We start from the raw sequence: 27,332 nt of genomic DNA, 5'->3' as shown, positions 1-27,332 counted from the left end.
AGTAGAGACAGGGTTTTACCATGTTAGCCACGATGGTCTCAATCTCCTGACCTGGTGATCCACCCTCCTCGGCCTCCCAAAGTGCTGGGATTACAGGTGTGAGCCACTGCACCCGGCCTCAGCTATCTTTCTTGAAATGAACAAGTGATGTGGCACTGGGGGAGTTTGTCGAGCCTGGTTTGTGTGTTTTATCCAGAAGTGCTGGACAAAATGTGTTCCCACATTACGCAGCAAACAGGAACACCAGAATGACTGCCTCCTCATCAGAGCAGACTATTCCCACCAAACACTCCCCTAATCTTGTATACAGACAGAAAAAAAGGACCTGTCATTAGATACCCTGCTTCCCTTCCTTCAAATGATCCAATTTCACCCTCTCAATTTTTTCATAGCAGTTTTTCACCTGTCCTCTTGTGATTTTCCTAATACTTTTCTTTAAATCAACTAAAAATATATATATATAGAAAAAAATATATATATATAGAGAGAGAGAGATGGTTTCGCTCTTGTTGCCCAGGCTGGAGTGCAATGGTGTGGTCTTGGCTCATTGCAACCTCTGTCTCCCGGGTTCAAGTGATTCTCCTGCCTCAGCCTCCCAAGTAACTGGGATTACAGGCATCCACCACCACGCCCAGCTAATTTTGTATTTTTCATAGAGATGGGGTTTCACCACATTGGCCAGGCTGGTCTCAGACTCCTGACCTCAGGTGATTGGCCTGTCTCAGCCTCCCAAAATGTTGGGATTACAGGTGTGAGCCACCATGCCTGACCTAAATCAACTAAAATATTTTTATTTAATTATATCTTAAAAGGAAATGTTACAGAGGTCCACAATCCCTCATCTGCAATTCCAAAGTCCAAAAATAATCTGAAAACTGCAAGTTTTCCCCCAAAGTTTAAGTCAAACTTATTTATCAGCAAAACTTGACCTGAAGTAATGTGAGGCTATTTATTTATAGTCTCTATTTATTCCAATTAGTGTGGCTTGTCACAGATTTCTTCACAGAAATATTAATGTGTTTGCTTACAAGGTGCTTCCCCAGACACTGCTGGGGGTATGAAGTTACATACAGTAAATGTACAGGGTGATCTTTTCAAAATCTGAGAAATTCTGAATTCTGAACTATATCTGTCCCCAGGGGTTTTCGTAAGGGTTTATGAACCTGTCATACCACCATAAGTAGAAAATCAGTACCACCTGCTAGAAGAAGAGAAGATGACCGTAAAAATAAATATAATTAAACTACATATTGTAATTTTAAGAAAAATGTTTTTTAAAAACACCTAAACTCACACAGATCTCCTCTGACCCCATCAGCAGAGCCTGGTCACAAGCCTCTAAATTCCAAGGCCCATCACCTGTTTCCCTGTGTGATTTGAAATGGGGTCAAGCTCCCATTTCTCCTTGAAGAACTGAGCACCTACTTTGAATATCTCATCAGGAAGGCATTTTATTGCTGATGGCTGGAAATATGGCATCAAATCCTTGTCAAGCATCCGGAGCTCTGCCTTAGTTAATCCAGCTGGGGAGAAAAAGGAATCACGGGGGTTTAGTTCAAGCCATCAGAACTCCGCTTGTTTTATTAATGGTGCTGCATAATGTTCAGATCTGAGTGTTCTAGGCAGGCATCATTCCTTACAAAAGGCCCTGGAAATCACACTGGGGAATCAAGTTCCTTCATCAACTCAGAAAAAAAAAATGTGGGTCACATTAGCCCTGATTGGCCTCCTACAGTGAAACGCATGCCCAGAAGGAACTTCAATTTACACACTTTCAAATTTTGTATAAACCTACTTAGGGGCCAATTAAATCACATTCTAAACTAGCGGTTTTCCAAACTTTAGTGTACACAAGAATCTCCAAAAGAGCTTGTTTTAAAAGCAGATTTGCAGACCCACCCTCTGCAACTTCAAATCATGAAATGTAGGTTCTACTGTAACGCCACTGATGTTTGCTACACATGGCCAAGGATAATGTTTTATTTTGTGTCCCCACATTTAAGTTTGGAAAGAGAGAGAAAGGTATGCTCAGGGTGAGTCTTACCTGCAATGGTCCCAAGCTCCTGCAAGACAGAACTGGTCCACTCAGTGGGATCCCCAAACACAACTTCAGCCTTCCTCTTAAACTCGGCTAAGACATGTGTGCTGCAGAGCAGGGTCCCAATTCTGGCCACTACCACCCTGGTAGTGGTTAAAGAGGGAGGGATATAATATGAGCTTGGACTCTTCAGCCAAAAACAAACAAACACACACACACACACACACACATACACACACACACTGCACAGTAGGCTCAGCAGGGACAGCAGATCCAGCTTATCCCATTAGCCCAGTGGGATTTTAGCCCAGAAAGGTGCCAAGTGTCAGGAGGTGGAATATCTGGATGGATGGATGGATGGATGGATGGATGGATGGATGGATGGATGGATGAATTAACCCATTTGCCATTTTGCACATTCATATTTTAGTTACCTGAATTCTGAGATCTTTATAAGTGGGATTTCAGTGATGTTTATAGCACACAGGGTTGCACCAAGTCCTACCAAATGAAAGCTCTTCAGGTCCTGGATACTGTATCCTGAATCATCCAGGTACCCTTGCAAAATGGATTCAGCCTAAAAAATAGTAAGAATAAAAGATAAACCATCCAGGAATGATCAAGGTCCCCAGGCCTGAGGGGATAAATAAGCTGTTGCTGTAGTCTCCTGACTGATCTCCCATCCTACTCCTCTGGAATCCCCACTCCAAACCATCCTGGCCTCTGCATCCAAGTTCATGTCCTTAAGATACTACTTCAACTGAGTATGTCCCCTAATCTATGAAAGTGTCTTCAGGCAATGAATCTCTTACATCCTTCACCAATATTAAAGGCACTTGTGTCCTGTGTGTCTGCTGCTTATTTCCTTCAGTCACTCTTATGACCCTCAGACAGTTTGGACATACAACTTCTTCTGCATCAGGATCCAAACTTTTCCAGCATCTTTTTCCACAACGTTTCTTCTCCCTTTTTTTTTTTTTTTTCGTTTTTTGGAGACGGAGTCTTGCTCTGTCACCCAGGCTGGAGTGCAGTGGCACAGCTCGCTGCAACCTCCACCTCCCCAGGTTCAAGCAATTCTCGTGCTTTAGCCACCCAAGTAGCTAGAATTACAGGTGCACATCACCACATCTGGCTTTTTGTATTTTTTGTAGAGACGGGGTTTCACCATGTTGCCCAGGCTGGTATCAAACTCCTGACCTCAAGTGATCCACCCACCTCGGCCTCCCAAAGTGCTGGGATTATAGGCATGAGCCACCGCACCCAGCCTTTCCACAACCTCCAACAAAACCTTATAATTTCCTGTCTCTTTGCCTTTGTTCAAACCAGTCCTTTCATCTGAAATGCCCTTCTGCACTTCCAAGTGCAGACATTCTTTTTTTTTTTTCTTTGGTTCAACTCAAATGTCACCTTCTTCATGAGGTTTCAGCCAGAATGATTTTTTCTTCCTCTATGGTCCTACAGAAATATGTTTACCCCTTAATGATTTTTTCTTCCTCTGTGGTCCTACAGAAATATGTTCACCCCTTCAATTCCAATGTTTACTCTTCAATTCCAAGAGTAGCACACAAAATGCTTTGGTGTTAAACTATTTTAAACTAAGCCTTGATTTAAGGCGGCTGACACATAAGTCTCCATAATTCTAGCACAGTGGCTATTCATCATTCATAACTTCCTCTGGAGAACCACCTCTCTTGTATTCCTGCTTCATGTGGTTCAGTCAAAGCTAACTGCACCAAGTTCCAGGAGTGATGAATTTCAATTCATACCTTAGCCTAGCTGCAGTCACTGGTTCTGGATTGGACATGTGATTTAACCAGAGTCAACCAGAACTTTGAGTGGAGCATTAGGGGAAGAGCTTTCTTTACTCTGGACTTGAACTTAGAAGGATATACACAAGGATCTGCTGGAACCTACCACATGCAGGCATAGAGCCTGTCTCTCAATGAAGCCAACACAAAGAAAAGCAAAGTTCAAAAACATGATAAGAGACAGATTCCCACCCAGAGTGTTGAAGATCCTGGATCCAGCTGTATCTGAACACTACCCCTGAACTTTCCAGTAATGGGAGTCAATAAATTCCTTTTTTTTTTTTTTTTTTTGAGACAAGGTCTCACTCTGTCACCCAGCCTGGAGTGCAGCGGCATGATCTCTGCTCACTACAACCTCCCTCTCCCAGGTTCAAGCGATTCTCATGCCTCAGCCTCCCCAGTAGCTGGGATTACAGGCAGGCATGAACATGCCTGGCTGATTTTTGTATTTTTAGTAGAGAAGTAGTTTCACTGTTGGCCAGGCTGGTCTCAAACTCCTGACCTCAAGTGATCTGCCCGTTTCAGCCTCCCAAAGTTCTAGGACTACAGGTATGAGCCACTGCACAGTGCACCCAGCCCCTTTATTTGTTCAAGCCAGTTTGTGTTGGGTTTTCTGCCACTTGTAACTAAACATGTGCTGATTCATTTTATCTACCTATGTAGGACCTGAGGAGGCATCCAAGCCAATCCTATGAAGATCAGCTACAAAATAAAGTCTGGGCTGGGCACGGTGGCTCACACCTGTAATCCCAGCACTTTGGGAGGCCGAAGCAGGAGGATCACTTAAAGTCAGGAGTTTGAGACCAGCCTGGCTGACATGGTGAAAGCTTGTCTCTACCAAAAAATACAAAAATTAGCCAGGCATGGTGGCACGTGCCTGTGGTCCCAGCTACTTGGGAGGCTGAGGTGGGAGGATTGCTTGAGCCTGGGAGGTGGAAGTTGCAGTGATCCAAGATTGTGCCACTGCACTCCAGCCTGGGTGACAGAGGGAGACTCTGTCTCACAAAATAAAGTCTGGTTCCTTCAGTGCTCATGGGAGCAAGTAAAAGAGATTATAAGACCTCACAAGGCAAAGATGAGGAGACATCCAAGGAGAGACCCCTAAGTGGAAGCGAAAATCACAGGCTATAGTCAATCTTCCCAACTCTCTTTGCTTTTTTTTGTTTTTTTTTTTTGAGACAGCGTCTCACTGTGTCACCCAGGCTGGAGTGCAGTGACATGATCTTGGCTTACTGCAACCTCCATCCCCCAGGGTTCAAGTAATTCTTATGCCTCTGACTCCCAAGTAGCTGGGATTACAGGCGCCCGCCACCACACCCAACTAATTTTTTGTGTTTTTAGTAGAGACAGGGTTTCACCATTTTGGCCAGGCTGGTCTCAAACTCCTGGCCTCAAGTGATCTACCCACCTCAGCCTCCCAAAGTGCTGGGATCACAGGCATGAGCCACCATGCCCGACCCCCATCTCCGTTTAATGTTAGTCATCCCCATCACACAATATAGATCATTAAGGTGTTGAGAGAAAGTGTTGAGGAAGATTGTGAAATGTTGCAATGAAATTCCGTCTTCATGGGCTGGTGCTTCCCACCCCTCAGGTGTGTTTAAATGCTACCTACTCAGAGAAAACTGCCCTCTGGACTCTTTCATCTCAAACAGCCCTTCTTCCCACTATTCCCATGAGCACCTTGTCCATTTTCCGCATCACTTATCGTGATTTTTCAAATTTTTCACTTTGATTACTCACTTTTTTGTCTGTATCACCAAGTAGGCTCCCAAAAGAAAAGGACCATATCCAGGTAGTTTACCAATGAGTCCCCAGCACCTAGCATAATGCCTGCCACAGAGTAGGAGTTCAATAAGTACTTCTTGAGTAAGTAAATGAATGAGTGAATGAATGAATGAATGAAACAACATCTGAGTGAGTGACTTACAAAAGTCGTGGGCAATATATATTATTTGACATGCTTCATTTTGCTGCCTTCATGTAATAGACTGGCTTCAGGAAGATTTCTCATGTTTCTGAAAATCGGACTGGTCAGTGTCCTCATCAAGTTGTCCTCCATGATTACAAAGCTCACAGCTACTATGGGGGCGGGGGATGCAGTAACACCATGCTTAGACTTATATGTCTTTGACTTAATGGGACTGTATATCCAAAGTGGTAATAGCTAACATTTATTGTAGCTAACATTTCTTGAGTGCATACTGTGTGCTGGCACCACTTTGACCACTTTACACATACTATCTCATCTAATCCTCCTAAATAACACTATGAGGTAAGTATTAATAGTATCCCTAGTTTGCAGATGAGCAAACTGAGGCAAGGAGAGGTTAAGTAACTAGGCCAAGATCACACAGCTAGAAAATGATCGTTCTGGCCAGGCGCCGTAGCTCCTGCCCGTAATCCCAGCACTTTGGGAGACAAAGGCGGGCAGATCACCTGAGGTCGGGAGTTGGAGACCAGCCTGACCAACATGGAGAAACCCCGTCTCTACTAAAAATACAAAATAAGCAGGGTGTGATGATGCATGCCTGTAATCCCAGTTACTCAGGAGGCTGAGGCAGGAGAATTGCTTGAACCCGGGAGGCAGAGGTTGCAGTGAGTGGAGATTACACTCCAGCCTGGGCAACAAGAGCAAAACTCATTCTAAAAAAAAAAAAGAAGAAGAAGAAAGAGAAAAGAAAATGATGGTTCTAGGATCAAAACCCAGGCAGTCTGATTCCAGGGCCCATACTCTTAGCCAGTGAAGGTGTTTGGCTATGGAGAAAAGATGGAGATTCAAGTTAGTTTTCAAATTTTTCTTATTAAGTCTTCATAATCAGGTTTCACTAGTTGACTCAGAGCAATTTGGGCTCCTCAACTATCAGGCACGCTCACTTTAAAATGAAAGTGCAAAAATACAATTTAAATAAAATTACTTTGAAGATATGGTATTAAATTGTCCTTGCCACTGAAACCCGGAAAATGCAAGCTCAGCCTGCAAGGTGATAAGTTAAAATAAATTTCCTTGAGTGACGAGACCAGTGTATATGTAATGATTCCAAGACAATTAATACCAACACTTTTAGGCAATATTAACTGTTGAAAAATGAATAGCTTTAAGATTTCAATCTCTCTGTTCATCCCTCTGGCTTCTATAATAGTTTTTTCCCTTATATTGGTTTTTGAGCTGAACTATCTGTTAATGTAGTTCCGTCAGGTCTGACTATTAATCTAGAAACCTGCATTTAAGGTTGATTGGGAGCTAAAGTTGAAGAACTGACTACAAATGATACATGCAAATGTTAGGTTTTCATATCCTCTTCAAACATATTGATAAATCTCACTGCCATCCATGAGAATTAAAATCGGTGCGAAGGGAAGGAGATACCCTAGTTTCTGCATGTATTTTTCTGTTTCTCCGAGCCTGCAAATAGAATGATTTTAATAGCACAGTGTGATGTGGCACTTCTCAAACTAGTCAAAACCAGTTTTAGAGTCAAAGAACCATGGGATTATAGAATATCAGACTGGAAGGAACCTCAGATTGTTGGGGCTAACCCTCTCATCTTGCAAAGGAGGAGACTAACCCAGAGAAAGGGGCTGTAATGATGATAATGTTGATGATGACAATGCAATGATGTCAATATCAACATAAAAACAGCTAATTTTTATTGACTACTATGTACCAGACATTGTTCAAAATGTTTTCAAGTATTAACTCATGTAATCTTCATGGCCAGGATCTGCATGTTGCCCAGCTCCAGGGGTGCACCATTCACAGTGTATTCTGTTTGAATGGTGCCACTCAGAGTTATGAAACATGGCCACCGTGATTACAAAAAGCTCAAAAGAGTAGGGGGACATTCATTGGTTTTGGCTGCTCAGCGTCCACACTTTTTCTTTGGAAAATTACCCTCCATTAGCTTCCTATTGCTACTCTACCAAATTACCCCAAACATAGTGGCTTTAAAACTACACGTTTATTCTCTTATAGTTCTGGAGACTGTATGTCCTAAAATGGACTAGAAGGATGGGTTCCTTCTGGGAGTTCTAAGAAGAATTCATTTTCTTGCTTTTTCTAGCTTCAAGAGGCCACCTGCATTTCCTTGGCTCATAGCCCCATCCTCCATCTCCAAAATCAGCAGCAGAGCACCTTCAGATCTCTTTCTAGGTCCCTCTGCTTCCATTATCATGTCACCTTCTCTATCTATGACCCTCCTTGCTCCTTCTTAAAAGGACCCTTGTGATTACATTGGGCCCACCCAAATAATCCAAGATAACCTCCTCATCTCAAGATCCTTAATCGCATCTTCAAAGTCCCTTTTGCTCCATAAGTTAACATAGTCACAGCTTCCAGGGGTTCAGACATGGACATCTTTCGGGGACCTTAATCAGCCCACCACATATCCTTCCCCACTCGGCTCATGTGGTCATGAGATGCTGATAAGATGGACTCCGCTCCCTGATGCAGGCCTCGCCAACCAACATATTCAACCCCTGACCAGAGTGGTTGCTCAGGGGCGGGCAACTACATGAGTGGAGTCAATGCTGAGGCTTTTCCAAAAACTAATAAAGAAGAGGCACATTTTTATGGGCTTGTTAATTAGGTTGTATATAAGCCTAGTGCTGAAAATGACCACTGAGAGAGCTGCCTAAGAACGAAGATAACATGGAAGGGCTAACACTTCCCTTTCCAGCAGTACAGTGGATTAGACACCCTAAACTCCTCTCCCAATCAAAACAATTAAAATTCTGGGAAGAACTTCTTCTTTAGCCCATGAAGGATTAATTAACATAGGAATTGGCCACCCACCATAAACAACTAGAAAATTTAACAAAATACATCAGACAACTGCATCCGGATATGGAACAACAGAATCATAATCCCAGAAGAAGAAAAACAAACAAGATGAGCCTTAAAATTACCCTCACTTACTGCCAAAAAGCAGTTTCCAAGACATGGATCAGGAAGAGGAACCAAAACAAGCCCAGTGGCCCAGCTGAGTTGAGGATACAGATATCCAAGTTCAGAGAGGCCACGGCACTTATCACTTGGGCAAAGTATTGGAGAGGAGGAAACTGCAGAGGGTTCCAGAAAGCTGCAGAGATGTCTAGTACTGACTGCTATTTTGCACATGCAAAGAGTGAAACTCCACATAGGCAGGAAAAGAGTCATCAGTAATCAGAAAGGATTAGGCTGAGCAACTTCCAGAGCTCATATGGAGCTGGAAATAGTTCACATTCTCACCAGCCAAAGTAGAGAGATCTTGAAATACATGGAGCATTAGGTAACATCCTCAAAGGAATCATGTCACAGTAATGATGATAAATTAACAACAGAATAAAGGTCACTCTGGTTTTACCCTAACAAAACTCAAAAGGAAGCATCAAAAGGATCAAGCTGATTTGAAAGTAACTTAAGTGTATGACAGAACAAAGCCCAATACTCTTCAAAGAAATACAACTAAATCAAATACTCAACAATGTAAAATCCACAATGCTCATCACCCAATCAAAATTGCTAGGCTTGCAAACAAAAAAAGAAAATATGACTCATAACTAAGAGAAAAATCAGTCAACAGAAACAGACTCAAAAATGACCATCATGAGGAAATTAACAGTAAGGATATGAAGGCAGCTCTTATAAATATGGAATAGTTAAAAGACCCAGAAACATCCACCCACCTGTCCCGGGGTCCATTCTGTTTGCCAGCTTAGGGAAGCCACAGTGTCTATGGAGCTGAGGTCCAGCTGCTCCAGCTCACTCTCATTAAGAGCCAGAGCAATGCGCCCCAGGGAGACGATATGGTGTTCTCTCCAGTAAGATGGCATGTCCCAAACCTTTAGGCAAAAAAAGAAAATAGATTAGACTGAACACTGTGATGGTATTTACAATGATTTGAATGTTTGTGCCCCTCTAAAATGCATATGTTAAAACCTAATCTCCAATGTGATAGTATTGGAAGGTTGGGCCTTGGGAGATGATTAGGTCATAAGGGTGGAGCCCTCATGAGTGGGATTAGTGCCCTTGTAAAAGAGACCCCAGAGAGCTAGCTACAAGCTAGTCCCTTTCCACCATGTGAGGACACAGTGAGAAAGCACCATCTATGAAAAACAAGTCCTTACCAGATACTGGATCTGCCAGTGCTTCAATTTTTGATTTCTCACCCCCCAGAACTGTGAGAAATAAATTTCTGTTTATAAGTTACCAGTCTATGATATTTTGTTATAGCAGCCTGAATGGACAAAGGCAGTATCTAAAATAGACATAAGGAGGCTAGGTGCGGTGGCTCACACTTGGAATCTCAGCATTTTTGGAGGCCAAGGCATGCAGATCACATGAGGCCAGGAGTTCAAGACCAGCCTGGCCAACATAACGAAACCCTGCCTCTACTAAAAATACAAAAAAAAAAAATTAGCTGTGCATGGTGGCGCACATCTGTAATCCCAGCCACTTGGGTGGCTGAGGCACAAGACTCACTTGCAGAAGTTGCAGTTAGCCAAGATGGTGCCACTGTACTCCAGCCTGGGTGACAGAGCGAGACCCTGTCTCAAAGAAATAAAAATAAAACAGACATAGGGAAACCTATTGTGCAGCATGGTGACCACAGTTGATAATAATGTGTTGAATGGTTGAAAATTGTGAAGAGAGTAGATGTTAAATATTCTCACAACAAAAACTGACAACGGACAAGTATGAAAGGTGATTGACATGTTAGCTTGCTTTAACCATTCCCCAATGTATACATACATCAAAACATCATATTGTATATATGTATACACCATAAATATATATAATTTGTATTTGTCAACTATCCCTTAATAAAAAATAAATAAAAATTAAAAAGACATAGGGTAAATCTTAATATAAAGCTCTCTTTTAAATCAATAATAAAAACATGACTATATTTGTTTTAAAAAAAAGATAGACAAAAGACATCAACAAGGAATTCACAAAAGAAAAATTAAATGTATGGGGAAAACTTTATTCTCAGTCATAATTAAAGAAATATACATTAAAAACAATCAGACCATGTTGATTCATCACATGTCAAGAAGTATAAAGACTTATCACCATTTACGATACTGGAAAGATACAAGGTAAGGGATACCCTCATTTGTTGTAGTTGAGAATATAAGTTGGTACATACTCTTGAGAGGGCAATTTGGCTATCTGTATCAAAAGCTTTTAAAGTATTTATATTCTTTGACCCAGAAATTCCACCTCTGGGAATTTAGCCTGAGTAAATGAGACAAGTACCCAACAGTATATGTATAAAGGCATACATTGAGGCATTTTTTTAATGCAACCTGAAAGTCTAACAATTAGCTAAATAAATAAGAACTAACCATAAATAAAATGAAGTTGCCCCTGTGGATACCTCCACCAAGGATTGGTTCCAGGACTTCTTAAAGATACCAAAATCCATGGATATTCAAGTCCCTTATATAAAATAGTGTAGTATTTGCATATAATCTATGCACATCCTCATGTATACTTTAAATCATCTCTAGATTAGTTATAATACCTGATGCAATATAAGTGCTATGTAAATATGTACAAAATGTTATGTCAAAAATGCTACTGTATTTTTATGTGTATTGTTTTTTATTGTTATATTGTTATTTGGATCATTTTTTCTAAATACATTCTACCTGAGGTTGGTTGAATCTGCAGATGTGGAACCCACTGATATGGAAGGCTAATTGTATTACAAAGCTATTTAAAATACTGATATAGGCTAGATGCTGTGGCTTACGCCTGTAATCCCAACACTTTGGGAGGCCAGGCAGACAGATCACTTGAGGTCAGGAGTTCGAGACCAGCCTGGCCAACATTGTGAAACCCCATCTCTACTAAAAATACAAAAATTAGCCGGGCATGGTGGCGGATGCCTGTAATCTCAGCTACTTGGGAGGATGAGGCAGGAGAATTGCTTGAACCTGGGAGGCAGAAGTTGCAGTAAGCCAAGACCACACTATTGTACTCCAGCCTGGGCAACAAGAACAAAACTCCATCTCAAAAAATAAATAAATAAATAAAATACTGACATAGATGTACATTTTGGATATGAAAAAATATGCAGTCTGTACTGTTGGGTGTAGAAAGCAAGTTATTGAATAGTAGGTAAGTATAATATCATTTTTGTAAAACATGAGATATATGTATGAAATATATAAAATAATATTTTTTATATACATAGTTTTGGAGTCTGGTAAGCTTCAAGTGAATATACCAAAATATCAACAGTGCTTATCTGCTGAACAGTGCTTATCAAAATATCAACAGTGAGTAAAAGATTATCACTGATTTTCTTCTTTATTATTTTCTGACTTTTCTACAATAAACTTGAAGTACTCATATAATACATAAATACAGTTATATTTATAATTTTAAGACATTGAATTGTTTAACCCTTGAGGGTAACTAGATATTCCACAACCATGTAAAGAGCTAAAACAGGGCTGGGTGCAGTGGCTCATGCCTGTAATCCCAGCACTGTGGGAGGCCAAGGTGAGCAGATCTCTTGAGGCTAGGGGTTTGAGACAAGCCTGGCCAAACAAACCCCGTCTCTACTAAAATACAATTATTAGCCAGGCATGGTGGCTTGTGCCTGTAGTCCCAGCTACTCAGGTGGCTGAGACACAAGAATCACTTGAACCCGGGAGGCAGAGTTTGCAGTGAACCACAGATCGCGCTGCTGCCCTCCAGCCTGTACGACAGAGCAAGACTCTGTCTTAAAAGAAAAAGAAAAAAAAAAGAAAGAAAAGCTAAAACAGGCCACAAAGGGACCTTTTCCTTTTATTTATTTATTTGAGACAGAGTCTCGCTCTATCACCAGGCTGGAGTGTAGTGACGCAATCTCGGCTCATGGCAGCCTCCGCCTCCCGGGTTCAAGCAATTCTCCTGCCTCAGCCTCCCGAGTAGCTGGAACTACAGGTGCATGCCACCTGTAGAGATGGGGTTTCACCATGTGGGCCAGGCTGGTCTCGATCTCTTGACCTCGTGATCCGCCTCCCAAAGTGCTGGGATTATAGGCATGAGCCACTGCACCCAGCCTATTTTTATTTATTTTTGAGACAAGGTATCAGCTCTGACGCCTAGGCTAGAGTGCACTGGCGCAATCTTGGCTTACTGCAACCTCCACCTCCCGGGTTCAAGCCATTCTCCTGCCTCAGCCTCCTGAGTAGCTGGAACTACAGGCACATGACACCACGCCTGGCTAATGTTTGCATTTTGAGTAGAGACAGGGTTTCACCATGTTGGCCAGCCTGGTCTCGAACTCCTGACCTCCCGTGATCCGCCCGCCTCGGCCTCCCAAAGTGTTGGGATTACAGGCATAAGCCACTGCACCCAGCCAACAAAGGGACCTTTTTAAAGATGGAAAGCTACTTCCAGTCCTCTTTTTACTCCTTTCTGTTATATTTTCAGACAAATTTGCAAATGATTCTGAGAAAACCTGCTGTGAGCAGCAGCTGGGGCTCTCCAGGTGAAGGAATAAAGCCTAATTCCTGCAAACCGCCTTGGTCAGAGGCACTGGGACATCCACAGAACTTGATTCACTGAGCATCTGCTAGATGCCAAGACACATCTCATCCCATTCTCTGCCACAGCCCTAAGAGGGAGGAACTGGAAATTTCCTCCTTTCTCAGATAAGGAGATCACAATATCACTGAGCTGATGCAGTAAAATTTCAAGATGATGTATGGGAAAACTGCTCGAGGAGGGTTCTATGTGCAGAAATGCTGAACTGGTTTTGGTGTTTTTCTTTTTTCCTCTGTTTAATGTTTCCTCCCTGAGGTGGGCTTCACCTGTATTGCTTTCTCCTTCAGGGTCATCAGCTGAGGCCGGCTGAAACCCTGGACAGCTCCCAGCAGTTCCACGGTCCTGATGAATGTGTCTTCCTCCATGCACCGCAGGTCCTCCAGGGCCCAGCAGGCGTTGGCTTCGGCCAACTTGAAGATGTCATCAGAAGAGGGGGCCACGACTCCATGGCAACCTGAAGAAAGGAGAGATGCAGGGAAGGAGAAGAGGAAAGAGAATTTCAGGAAATGTTAGTGTATTGAAATGAGTAACATTCTTTGCCAGTCAGATTTATGCATGGAAGGGACTACAGAGTAAAAGCAGAGAGCAGGAGGCAGGGACCAGTTTGAATCCCACTTCTGCCATTTCTTGCTAATTACTGGGTAACAAAGTCATGGAAATGCCAGCTTTTTGCACATCCACATGCACAAACTAGGAGCGGTGCAACATTACAATTAAACTACAAATTCCTTGAGGGCAGTAAGAGCTGGTGGTGAACAGTCCTGACTTTCGATTCAAATCCAAGGCTATTTAACCTCTCTGTATTTCAGTTTTCTTGTCTATAAAATGGAAATAAAATCGCCTCATAGGATGGTTGTGAAAACTAAATGTGTTATATGTAAAGCACTTAGAACAGTGCCACGCATACAGTAAGCACTCGATACACAATTTCTGTTGCCTATCTTACCCCCTATGCCTTTGAGTTTGCAGCCCAGCATAAAGATTCCAAAATTATGCAGCAGCCTTCCTATAAAAATGGGAAGATGGGCTGTGCGGTGGCGCATGTCTTTAATCCCAGCACTTTGGGAGGCCAAGGCAGAAGGATCACTTGAGCCCAGGAATTCAAGACCAGCCTGGGCAGCATGGTAAGACCTCACCTCTAAAAAAAAAAAAACTACAAAATATTAGCTAGGCATGGTGGCACATGCCTGTAGTCCCAGCTACCCAGCAGGCTGAGGTGGGAGGATCACCTGAGCCTGGGAGGTCAAGATTGCAGTGAGCCGTGATCACACCTATTCTCCAGCCTGGGTAACGGTGAGACCCTGTGTCAAAATAAAATAAAAAATAAAAACCAGGAAGATGAGTTGCTGTCCATGAAAATCATAGTGGGGGTTGTGGCTTTCCCATCCCAAGAGAAAAGAGAAATGAGCCTATTGCATTTCTCTTGGCAACAGGAAAAACATCCATTTCGGTCTTTGAATAATGTGAACCTTACCTACTCAAACCAGCTACCAACCAACATGCAAGTGAGATATTGTCTTTGCTGGATCTGATGTGCCCAACCTGGGAGAAAACTCTAGGATCCTTAAGAGCAACCCTGGATTTCTTATCTTAGCCGCAGACCACCACTGATGCTGACAGATGCACCAACCCCACCCAAGGCCAGGGTATTTCCCGAGCCCCATGGCCTCTCTCTTCTCATTGCACCTTCAATGGAAATTCACTGCATTCCAATCACGAGGCAAAAGTAGACCAGATCAAAGATGCCAGTTGTGGTCCTCAAACATCTTTATCATAAGCCACTTGGAGAGGACTAAAGACCCATCCCTCCCTAGGCCAACCCCCAGCCCACCCTCTAGTGAAAACAACATCAGTGATAGCACAGAACTAGAGAGGGCAGAATGGTTGACTAGTATATCAGGAACTTGGTCTTATCACTGTGTCTGTCCAGGGCTTAGAATAGAGCCTGGTACATCGTAGGTGTTCAGCAAATATCTGTGGAGTGAGTGAACACACACACACAAATTAATATAAAACCAAGCGGTAATTCTGCTAATCCATCAATCACTAAAGCACAGCAGCAATTAATACCCAGAACCAACTAAAGAACACTCAAACTATGCACTGATACCAGAGCTTCCTTCCCCTGAGCATGGAAAGCCTTATTTTGTGTACCACATGCACACAGTAAGAGCTCTGCAATATGATGACATGGACTGCTAGACCTTGAGGGCAGTGGGAGCCAGTGGTGGTCACCACCAACTTTGGGTACAAATCCAAGAACTGCCATTTACTAACTCTGTGACTTTAGACAAGTCCCTTAGTCTCCTAAGCCCCAGTTTCCTTCATTTAAAAAACAAGAGAACACCCAAGCCTGGAAATCTGCAGCCCTAAATGGGAATAGGCATTCCTGTTTTCACGCCCAAATGTTAGGTTTTGGCCTGCCACATCCCACTATCCTGTACCCATATAAACCCCAAACCCCAGGCTCCATGAGCATACAAGCAGATGAGCAGATGAACAGAAGAGAAGAGGAGCAGAAGAGCAGCATGGCAGAGAAAGGAGCATCTGAAGGCCAAGAAGAGTTTGGCTGGGGACAGTTGGAGAGGAGATTGGTCACAGGACAGCCAAACTCCAGGGGAAGATCATCTTCCCACTCCATCCCCTTTCTAGCTCCCCATCCATCCCACCGAGAGCCACCTCCATTACCCAATAAAACCCCACATTCACCAAGAAAAAAAAAAAACGGGAGAACAAGATAATGCATGGAGGGATAATCACCCAAGGTAGACACAAATCCAATTGTGATACTTCTTTGCTCGATGTCACACGATGCCTCCACCCAGAGTAAAAGCCAAAGTCATTAGGGTTTCCTTTAACAGTCACTACATGGCTGGCCTTGTCTCTCACTCCCCTCCAAACACACTGGCCCTTACCTCCCACTCATGGAAGTGGTCCTGTTGCACTCTCTGCCTGGAAGACTCTAATTGAAAATATCCACATGGCCCACTCTCCCTTGGGTCTTCATTCAAATGTCACCTTCTCAATAAGATGTTCCTTCATGATTCTCTTTTCACATGACAGTCCCCTCTCAACACTCGTGGTGCATTCCCTTGCTTTATTTTCCTTCTTGGCACTTTTCATACAATATACCATATATTTTACTTATGTATGGAAATTTATTGTCTTGCTACCCTCCATTTGAAAGTAAGCTCTTTATTTACAAAATTGGTGCTTAACGAATATTTGTTGGGTGGATGAAAGCAAGCACTGACTGTCAACTACTATCACTGGGGGTGATTAACTTTGTCTCCTCATGCCTGGCCCCAGTCTGCACTTAGTAGGTGCATGGTAATAATAATAAAATATCTAACACTTGGACAGGCATGGTAGCTCACATCTATAATCCCAGCACTATGGGAGACCAAGGCAGGAGGATCACTTGAGGCTCAGAGTTCAAGATCAGCCTGGGCAACACAGTAAGACCCTATCTCTACAAAAAAATAAAAAATTATCCAGATGTGGTGGTTCATGCCTGTAGTCCCAACTACTTGTGAAGCTGAGGTGGGAGGATCCCTTGAGTCCAGGAGGTCGAGGCTGTAGTGAACCATGATTGCTGCACTCCAGCCTGGGTGGTAGAGCGAGGCCCTGCCTCTATAAAATCAAATTTTAGGCCGGGGGCAGTGGCTCACGCCTGTAATCCCAGTATTTCGGGAGGCCAAGGCAGGTGGATCACCTGAGGCCAGCGTTCAAGACCAGCCTGGCCAACATTGTGAAACCCCGTCTTTACTAATAATACAAAACTTAGCCAGGCGTGGTGGCACATGCCTATAATCCCAGCTAGTCAGGAGGCTGAGGCAGGAGAGTTGCTGTAATCTGGGAGGTGGAGGTTGCAGTGGGCCGAGATCATGCCACTATACTCCAGCCTGGGTGACACTCCAGCAAGACTCCATCTCAAAAAATAAAAAAAATCAAATTTTAAAAATATATAATACTTATTAAAGATCTGCTACATGCCAGGCATTCCGGTAAACATGTTTCTGGGTTTAAACCCATTAATTCTCACAATAACCCAGTGAGGTAGAGACTTTCATTATCCCCATTTGATAAAGGATGAAAACTGAGGCACACAGAGGTTAAAGAGCTTACCCAAAGCCACACAGCCAGTAAGTGGCAGACTCAGGAGTGAAATGTAGCCAGCCCGGCCCTGTCACTGCTATGTTAAACCACTAATCCATGTTGGTCCTCTAAGTCAATCCTACTGAAATGTTTGTTACACATATTCACGCATTAAACCTACTAGCCTGGGTATGGAGTATGGGACATGATTCCAGGTCACTTTACAAAAGTGTAACTCTTTTTTTTTTGAGACAGAGTCTCGCTGTCACCCAGGCTGGAGTGCAGTGGTGCCATCTCAGCTCACTGCAACCTTCACCTCCTGGGTTCAAGCAATCCTCGTGTCTCAGCCTCCTGAGTAGCTGAGACTACAGGTATGCACCACCACACCCGGCTAATTTTTGTGTTTCTAGTAGAGACAGGGTTTCGCCATGTTGGCCAGGCTGGTCTCGAACTCCTGACCTCAAGTGATCTGCCTGCCTCAACCTCACAAAGTGCTAGGATTACAGGCTTGAGCAACCGCACCTGAACCAAAAGTGTAATTCTTTTGCTTATAGATTTTGTCATTCTATTGCTTTGCAGACATTTCATCCAGTTCCCTGCATAAGGAGGCCTCTTGATGTCAGGGACCCTGCCCAAAACATTAATTACTATGTCAGCAATGGCTCAGATACCCTGAAAACACTCACCAGGCATAGGGTCATAGCTGGGGATCTTATCACTGCTGTTCCGAACAGACTGAAAGACAGCCCAGAGGAATTCTTTAGTGGGCAGGGTCCTGGCCATCTTGGAAGCTGCTTGCAGAAGGATCTCAGGAAACTGTGTGAAAGAAGATGAAAGAAGAGGAATAATAATTAAAACCCCTTAAATACAGATTGAAATTAGAGTTGAAACTGTCACACTACTTACTGCCTTCATTCTTTGTTATAGCAACTTCTCATATAAATCTATTCCCTAGTCCCACTAATGTGGTCTCTATAAAGAATCCTATAAAATGATACTCAACTTCAATAAAAATCCAATAAAGTCTAAAAAACATAAGTAAATCACTTTTCACCCATCAGATTGTCAAAAATAAAATGAAGTGCTAATACTTAATGCTGGGCACATTCATTTTTCCGTGGGACTGTCAAACTGTGCACTATTAGCAGAGCAATCTGGTAATATCGACAAAAAATGTAGGTTAGGCGAGGTGTGGTGGCTCATACCTGTAATCCCAGCATTTTGGGAGGTCGAGGCAGGCAAATCACTTGAGGTCAGGAGCTCAAGACTGGCCTGGCCAACATGGTGAAACCCCATCTCTACTAAAAATACAAAAATTAGTCAGTCGTGGTGGCATGAGCCTGTCATCCCAGCTACTTAGGAGGCTGAGACAGAAGGATCACCAGAGCCCAGGAGGCTGAGGTTGTAGTGAGTCGAGAGCATGCCACTGCACTCCAGCCTGGGTGATGGGAGTACAACCCTGTCTCAGAAAAAAACAAAAAAAATGTATGTGTACCTACCCCTTTTTTGGTTTGGTGCTATTTCTAAGTTTTTACTAAACTTTATATTTGACATAGTTTGGATGTGTACCCCACCCAAATCTTATTGAAATGTAATCCCCAGTGTTGGAGGTGGGGCCCAGTGAGAGGTGATTGGATCATGGGGGCAGATTTCTCATGAATGGTTAAATACAATCCCCTTGGTACTGTCCTCACAATAGTGCGTGCGTTCTCTCGAGATCTTGTTGTTTAAATGCATGTAGCACCTCCCCCATCACGCTCTTGCTCCTGTGTCGGCCAAGTAAGATGTGTCTGCTCCCCCTTCGCCTTCCGCCATGATTGTAAGTTTCCTGAGGCCTTCCCAGAAGCTGGGCAGATGCCAGCATCATGCTTCCTGTACAGTCGGCAGAGCCATGAGCCAATCAATCCTCTTTTCTTGTCTCTTTTTTTTTTTTTTTTTTTCAGAGTCTTGTTCTGTTGCTCAAGCTGGAATACAGTGGTGTGATCTCCACTCACTGCAACCTCCACCTCCCAGGCTCAAGTAATTCTCGTGCCTGAGCCTCCTGAGTAGCTGGGATTACATGCATGCAGCACCAAGCCAGGCTAATTTTTTTTTATTTTTATTGTAGACAAGGTTTCACTATCTTGGCCTGGCTGGTCTCAAACTCCTGGCCTCAAGTGATTCGCCCACCTCGGCCTCCCAAAGTGCTGGGATTACAGATGTGAGCCACTGTGCCTGGCAGTGTTTGTTTGTTTGTTTGTTTAGACGGAGTCTCGCTCTATCACCCAGGCTGGAGTGCAGGGCACGATCTCGGCTCACTGCAAGCTCTGCCCCCTGGGTTCACGCCGTTCTCCTACCTCAGCCTCCCGAGTAGCTGGGACTACATGTGCCCACCACCACGCCCGGCTAATTTTTTGTATTTTTTAGTAGAGACGGGGTTTCACCCTCTTAGCCAGGACGGTCTCAATCTCCTGACCTCGTGATCTGCCCGCCTCGGCCTCCCAAACTGCTGGGATTGCAGGCATGAGCCACTGCACCTGGCCCTTTTTATTTTATTTTTTTTAATTTAACTTTTATTTTAAGTTCAGGGGTACATGGCAGGTTTGTTATATAGGTAAGCTTGTGTCATGGAGGTTTGTTGTACAAATTATTTAATCACCCAGGTATTAAGCCTAGTACCCATTAGTTATTTTTGCTGATCTTCTCCCTCCTCCCACCTTTCACTCTCCAATAGGCCCCAGTATCTGCTGTTCCATTCTATGTGACAACGTGTTCTCATCATTTAGCTCCCACTTATAAGTAAGAACATGCGGTATTTGGTTTTCTGTTTCTGCATTAGTTTGCTAAGGATGATGGCCTCCAGCTCCATCCATGTCCCTGCAAAGAACACGATCTCATTCTTTTTTATGGCCACATAGTATTCCATGTAAACCTCCTTTCTTTATAAATTACCCAGTCTCAGGTATTTCTTTATAGCAATGCAAGAATTGCCTAACACAGGTCAGGTGCGGTGGCTCACACCTGTAATCCTAGCACTTGGGAGGCCCAAGCAGGCAGATCACCTGAGGTCAAGGGTTCAAGACCAGCCTGGCCAACACGGTGAAACCCCGTTTCTACAAAAAATACAAAAATTCACTCGGCATGGTGGTGTATGCCTATAATCCCTGCTACTCAGGAGGCTGAGGCAGGAGAATCACTTGAACCCAGGAGGTGGAGGTTGCAGTGAGCCGAAATCGTGCCACTGCATTCCGGCCTGGGCAACACAGCTAGACTCCATCTCAAAAAAGAGAAAGAAAAAAAGAATTGCCTAACACAACATTTGTCATGAAAAGGAGGTGAAGAAGGGTTGTCTCAACATCCTGGGTGGAGACTAGCAATGAGGGGACTTAGGGGACTTTGGGTTGCCTTGGAGAAAGTGCCATTTCTCATCTAGAACGAATACACTTTGTCAAGACTTGGGATTTTATTAGAAGGCCTGCCCATGGGCCCAGATAATCCATCAGGCTCTACAAACAGCTATGCCTCACTGGGTCCCGGCTCACCCAGAGAGCAAGCCTCTCAGCCTATGTAGCTCCCCTTTCTAGTCTCATCTTCAGAATTAGAGTCACAGTCTAAGCCAGCAGTTCTTCAACCCTGGCTGTACCTAAGAGTCACCTGGGACACCCAGAGCCAGCCCCTAAAGATTCTGACTCAGTCGGGCTGGGCTGGATACCATGGATTGGTCCCTCTTGGAATCTCCCCAGGTGATTCTAATGTGCAGCTGAGGCTGAAGGCAACCACTCTAAGACAGTTAACTTTTAGAAAGCAATATGCATAGCGGAGTGAATGGCATTTTCCATTTTGTATTTTCTAAAGAAGAGTGTGTATATGCTCTTGTGTTTTTAGTAGAGACAGGGTTTCGCCATGTTGGCGAGGCTTGTTATATAGGTATTTTTATACCTATATAAAACTTGTTATATAGATATTCAGGATATTTCTGAAAGGATGCAGAAGAGATTGGGGACAGCAATTGCCTCTGAAGAGGGAGGCTAGGGAACTAGAAGTCTGGGGTGGGAGGGAGACTTGCTTCTCATCCTATTACCTTTGGTGCGATTGGGATTTGTTAACCAGGAGCATGTATTACTTGCTTTATTAAACATTTCCAGTATTTAAAAAAAGAGTATACAGAATAATACAACAAAACACCCATGTCCTCACAACCCAACTTAAGAAATAAAACATCACAATATAAATAATAAGTCCCTCCTTCACTCTTTGCCTTCCTCCTTCCCCAGAAGTAACTGTCACTCTGAATTTGGCATTCACTTTTACACTTCTCTTACATATAAACTTGGCTTACATTTGCTTTAAATTAATTCAGCTACTATTTATTTATTTACTTTGTATCCTACTATAGATATTCTTTTGCAATCTGGGTTTTTTTTTAACTCTACACTGTGTTTTTGAGATTTCACAGTGTTGATGCAAGACTTTTTCAATTTCAGAAGTTGATTTTTTTAAGATTAGATAGATATATGGATGTTCTCACTGATATGTGGGAGCTAAACTATGAGGACCCAAAGGCATAAGAATGATACAATGGGCTTTGGGGACTTGGATGGAAGAGTGGGAGGGGCCAAGGGATAAAAGACTACAAATATGTTGCAGTGTATACTGTTCAGGTGATGGGTGCACCAAAATCTCACAAATCACCACTAAAGAACTTACTCATGTAACCAAACACCACCTGTACCCCAATACCTTATGGAAAAATAAAAATAATAATAAACATCTAAACATAAGAAAAACAAGGAAGGAAAAAAAATAGATGGATATATAACATTTGTGCATCAGGGCCGGGCATGGTGGCTCACGCCTGTAATCCCAGCACTTGGGAGGCCGAGGCGGGCAGATCACTTGAGGTCAGGAGTTCAAGACCAGGCTGGCCAACATGGTGAAGCCCCATATCTACTAAAAATATAAAAATTAGCTGGGCATAGTGGCAGGGGCCTGTAATCCCAGCTACTCGGGAGGCTGAGGCAGGAGAATCACTTGAACCCAGGAAGCAGAGGTTGCAGTGAGCCGAGATTGCATCACTACACTCCAGCCTGGGCAACAGAGGGAGACTCCATCGCAAAATAAAATAAAATAATAAAATAAAAATAAACATGTGTGCATCAACTGCTTATAACTATATATTCAGACATCCAGAATATGATTTTACTGTGACTGGACTTCAGAATGTGCTGCGTGTGATCCTAGGTGAAGTTGTGTGTGTTCAGGCCCTGCTGAGCATGTGTGACCATGTGCACCTTGTGCCTGCAAGTGCAGGTATGAGAGTGTGTGGATGTGCTTTGTGGGGGATCTGATTGTCATTCAGCAAACATTCACTCCTTTCCTGCCCTCCACCTCCATGGAAGGAGACTCCTTCCTGCCCCATTAAAGTTGGTCTTGGTCATGTAACTTACTTTGGCCATTGGAGTGTGGCAGAAGTGACAGCGTGCCAACTTCCAACCTAGGACTTAAGGAGAATTGTACTTATCCCTTCCCTTTTTTGGTAGTTTCATACCTTCATGGTAAGAAAAACAAGTTCTAGAGCAGGGCTGCCCCAGCGACCCACAAATCAGGCAGCAAGGAACATATGCGAATTGTTCTATGCCCTTGAGATTGTGTGGCTTTGTTATGCAGCACAAATGACTAATTCATGCTTATTTTGCATGCCCCTTGGTCTAGACTGTCTAACTTCTGGAGCCTTACTCCTAGAAAAGCGTCATGCCCAAATGTAATGATCAATAAAGACTTGTTATTGGATTAAATGTGCTTGCACATGTGATTGCATACACTGGACATACATGTGCATGTGCATAGGGCACCAGCCAGTGTGAGAGCCAGAACAGACGTGCGTGTGAGATGCACACTAATAGCAGAGTGGTAGCTAAGTAATATCTGTCTGCACACATCTGCCTGGGGGGCCACACAAAAGGGCCTGAGTTCATTTAGCTGTGGACTCACTCCCTTTTCCAGAACCTTGCACATCCTGGAATGGAGCTGGAAACATCTTAGCCCTTGGAGGCAGGGAGGAAGCTTCCAGAACCATAGACAGCAGTAAACCCAATGCTGTATAACTGACCACACTTTCTCTCCCCTTCAAACTCCTTCAGCCTTCTTAAGATGGAGCACAACATTACCTTTGTGGCTATAGAGCTTAATTCATCTCCTGAGAAAAGTACTAGAAAGGGTCCCAAGTCCTTCGTGGTCTCGGCTGTCCAGTGCTGAGGGAGTCTAAAAAGAGATAATAACCAGTAAAGTGAAAAAACATGCTGTGGTGGACATCTGTTGCCTTTTCCCCCAGCACCCTTTTCTTTCAGGAATAGATTGTCTTATACTCATGTCAATCACATGGTCCCACTTCCTTGACCAAGAAAATTGGCATGTGATGCAGGCTGACCAATCAGAGTCATCCCTGGGAGTTTTGATGGAACTATCAGAGAAGCTCTCCTTTCTCTGGTATCTCTGGCAGTAGGGGAGGATATTGGAGGACATTCATATTACCAAGTGGAAAAAGTAAAGACCACACCAAGGAACACAGAGCTGAGGGATGGGAGGAACATATTCCTGAAGATATCATTTGAGACACGGGATTCAGCCATGCCTGAAGACCACCAGTGGAGTTTCCCGTTACATTCCATTCCTGAATTCAATACATTCCCGTTCTCTTTAGTTTGAATTAAATTATTGAATTTCTGCCATTTACATCACAGTGTGTCCTTCTTCTCCCTCCTCAATAGAAGAGTAATTATATATTTCTTCCTTTTACTTTACCATAACAGTCTTCTCTTAGAATAAGAAAAAACCTTTCTCTTGAACTTGGCAGGATAAAATAAAGGCACTGACCCAGAATCCACTGTTATTCTTGTATAGATCATAAATGCCTACAGTGAAGAGCATTACACTATCTTTGGCGACATCTCTAAAGGAGGTCTGCCCAATTAGCAGTGACAGCTGGTGGGAATGCAAAATCATACAGCCACTTTGGAAGACATTTTGTTGGTTTCTTACAAAAGCAAACATGTTTTTGCCATATAACCCAGCAAACACACTCTTTGGTATTTACACAAAGGAGTTGAAAACTTACGTCTACATGAAAACCTGTATATGGATGTTGATAGCAGCTTTATCCATAATTGCCAAAACTTGGAAGCAACCAAATGTCCTTCTGTAGGTGAATGGCTAAATAAACTGTGGTTCATTAAGACAATGAAATATGATTCAGCACTAAAAAGAAATGAGCTATCAAGCCAAAAAAAGACCTGGAGAAAACTTAAGTGCATATTACTAAGTGAAAGAAGTCTATCTGAAAAGGCTATCTACTGTATGATTCCAAATATATGATATTCTAGAAAAGGCAAAAGTATCAGTGGTTGCCAGGAATTAGGAGTGAGAGAGGAATGAACAGGCAAAGCCCGGAAGGATTTTTAGGGCAGTGAAAATACTCCGTATGATACTATAATGGTGAATACATGTTATTATATACTTGTCTGAACCCATAGAATGTAAAGCACCAAGAGTGAATCCTAATGTAAAATATGGACTATGGATGATAATGAGAATCCAATGACGATAATGTCAACATAGGTTCATCAGTTCTAACAAATGTACAACTTTGGTGGGGGATATTGATCATGGGGAGCTTATGCGTGTACGGGGTCAGAGAGATATGGGAAATCTCTATCTTCTCCATTTTTCTGAGAACCTAAAACTAGTATTAAAAATAGTCTCTAGGGTCAGGCATGGTGGCCCATACCTATAATCCCAACACTGTGGGAGGCTTAGGTGGGTGAATCCCTTGAGCCCAGGAGTTCAAGACCCACCTAGGCAACATGGTGAAATTCCATCCCTTAAAAAAAAATACAAAAATTAGCTGGGTACAGTGATGTGCACCTGTGGTCCCAGCTACTTGGGAGGCTCAGGTGGGAGGATCACCTGAGCCCAGGGAGGTTGAGGCTGCAGTGAGCCATTACTGTGCCACAGCACTCCAGCCTGGGTGACAGAGCGAGACCCCATTTAAAAAAAAAATAGTCTTTAAACTAATAATAATACCACTACCTTGCATCTGTAAAGGGCCACCTTTTCCAAATTTCCCCTTCATATGCCAAGCTGTGTAAGAAACAACTCTTTGAGATTTTTAGGGCAGCTACTATTGATTCCACTTTACAGCAAATCTGAAGCCAAGGCCAGGCGCGGTGACTCACGCCTGTAATCCCAGAACTTTGGGAGGCCGAGGTGGGTGGATTACGAGGTCAGGAGATCAAGACCATCCTGGCCAACATGGTGAAACCCAGTCTCTACTAAAAATGCAAAAAATAGCTGGGCGTGGTGGCACATGCCTGTAATCCCAGCTACTCGGGAGGCTGAGGCAGGAGAATCGCTTGAACCAGGGAGTCAGAAGTTGCAGTGAGCCAAGGTCGTGCCACTGTACTCCAGCCTGGCCACAGAGCGAGACTCCGTCTAAGAAAAAAAAAAAAAATCTGAAGCCAAAAGAAGAAAGGTCACATTTCCAAAATAAGCATAAGAATTTTATCTCATCCTAAGCCAGAGACTCTGTTTGCAGGGCAGGAGAGCCAAGGTTGAGTGTCCCTCCACAGAGCATACCACACCACCAAAAGCCAAACCCAGCCGCTCCTCACCCATACTGTCCCAGGAGCTTGAGCCTCACTGCAGCCTTTTGCTCAGGGTTGAGGTCTGGGCAGTCTCTGAGGCCGTGTAGAGCAGTCGCCCAAGCCCTGGGGGAGATCCCCCTGTCGATGATGGCTGCCGGCAAGTGACACAGCAGGTTCCCCATGATGTCCACAGTGTACTCATCAGCAATGGAGTCGTCCTGAACCCAAAAAGTGGAGCCAATGGGCAGTTCCAACAGAGCATAAGATCGTGAGCCATTAGAAACACATCCTGTGGGGTGGGCACTGTGGCTTATGCCTATAATCCCAGCACTCTGGGAGGCCGAGGCAGACAGATCATTTGAGGCCAGGAGTTCGAAATCAGCCTGGCCAACATGGTGAAACCCCATCTATACTAAAAATACAAAAATTAGCCAGGCATTGTGGCACATGCCTGTAGTCCCAGCTACTCGAGAGGCTGAGGCACAAGAATTGCTTGAACCCGGGAGGCAGAGGTCGCAGTGAGCCTAGATGATCATGCCATTGCACTCCAGCCTGGGTGACAGAGGAAAACTCTGTCTCAAAAAAAAAAAAAAAAAAGTTCCGATCCCAAACTTCTTAAAGATTCCAGGATCTTAACTGCCTACCCTGCCATGGATTCCTAGAGATGGAACAGGACCTGATCTTCCCCAGGGATGCAGGCCTCAGAAATCTGGAAAACCCTGGCTTGGCACACCAGGAGCACTCAGTAATTGAGCGCTGCTGTCACTGTTATTGCTCTGAGAATATTCCAGACTTCAACCACCATTATACTATTGGCACCACAACAATGAAAACAGCACTTCAAAGTTTGTATGCCACTTGAAAGCCTTCAAAGCTCTTTTGCACTTTCACAAAATGACAAAAATAGTTCACATTTATTGTGTGTTTCCTATGTGCGGGCACCGTCCTGAGTATCTGTGGGTCTCAATCTAGTCATCTTCAAAGTAACTGTAAGAAGTAAGTACTACTATTATCCATTTTTTAAAGAAAAAGAAACTGCCAGCTAGTGGCAAGGCTAGGATTCACACCCAGACAATCTGGCCTTTGAGCCTTTACATTAAATAATACATTGCCCATGTCATGTTTTCAATACTCTATGAGGAGACTAGGTATGGTGGCTCATGTCTGTAATCCCAACACTTTGGGAGGCCGAGGTGGATGGATCACCTGATGTCAGGAGTTTGAGACCATCCTGGCCAACA

At 43.5% G+C, this 27,332-nt stretch overlaps 1 protein-coding gene across 5 annotated transcripts in view; it reads right to left on the bottom strand.

The window, feature by feature from the left end:
* The window catches only part of OTOA (otoancorin), a 96,762-nt gene that overhangs the window by 6,180 nt on the left and 63,250 nt on the right, over positions 1-27,332 (bottom strand). For 4 of the 5 annotated variants that reach the window (NM_144672.4, NM_001161683.2, NM_170664.3 and 1 more), the window contains 8 exons: positions 26,119-26,309; positions 23,620-23,713; positions 18,160-18,289; positions 13,642-13,829; positions 9,514-9,669; positions 2,473-2,615; positions 2,045-2,181; positions 1,426-1,523 (listed from right to left, as the gene is read on the bottom strand). In NM_144672.4, coding sequence (NP_653273.3) covers positions 1,426-1,523; positions 2,045-2,181; positions 2,473-2,615; positions 9,514-9,669; positions 13,642-13,829; positions 18,160-18,289; positions 23,620-23,713; positions 26,119-26,309 — 1,137 coding nt within the window. Of the gene's footprint in view, positions 1-1,425; positions 1,524-2,044; positions 2,182-2,472; positions 2,616-5,589; positions 5,680-9,513; positions 9,670-13,641; positions 13,830-18,159; positions 18,290-23,619; positions 23,714-26,118; positions 26,310-27,332 lie in introns of those variants that run through there. The other variant, XR_002957775.1, reaches the window with a different exon arrangement.

Source organism: Homo sapiens, chromosome 16, assembly GCF_000001405.40.
Source record: "Homo sapiens chromosome 16, GRCh38.p14 Primary Assembly".
NCBI classification, from domain to species: Eukaryota; Metazoa; Chordata; class Mammalia; order Primates; family Hominidae; genus Homo; species Homo sapiens.
The sequence above is the reverse complement of the archived record's forward strand: the minus strand, read 5'-3'. Positions and strand labels throughout refer to the sequence as shown.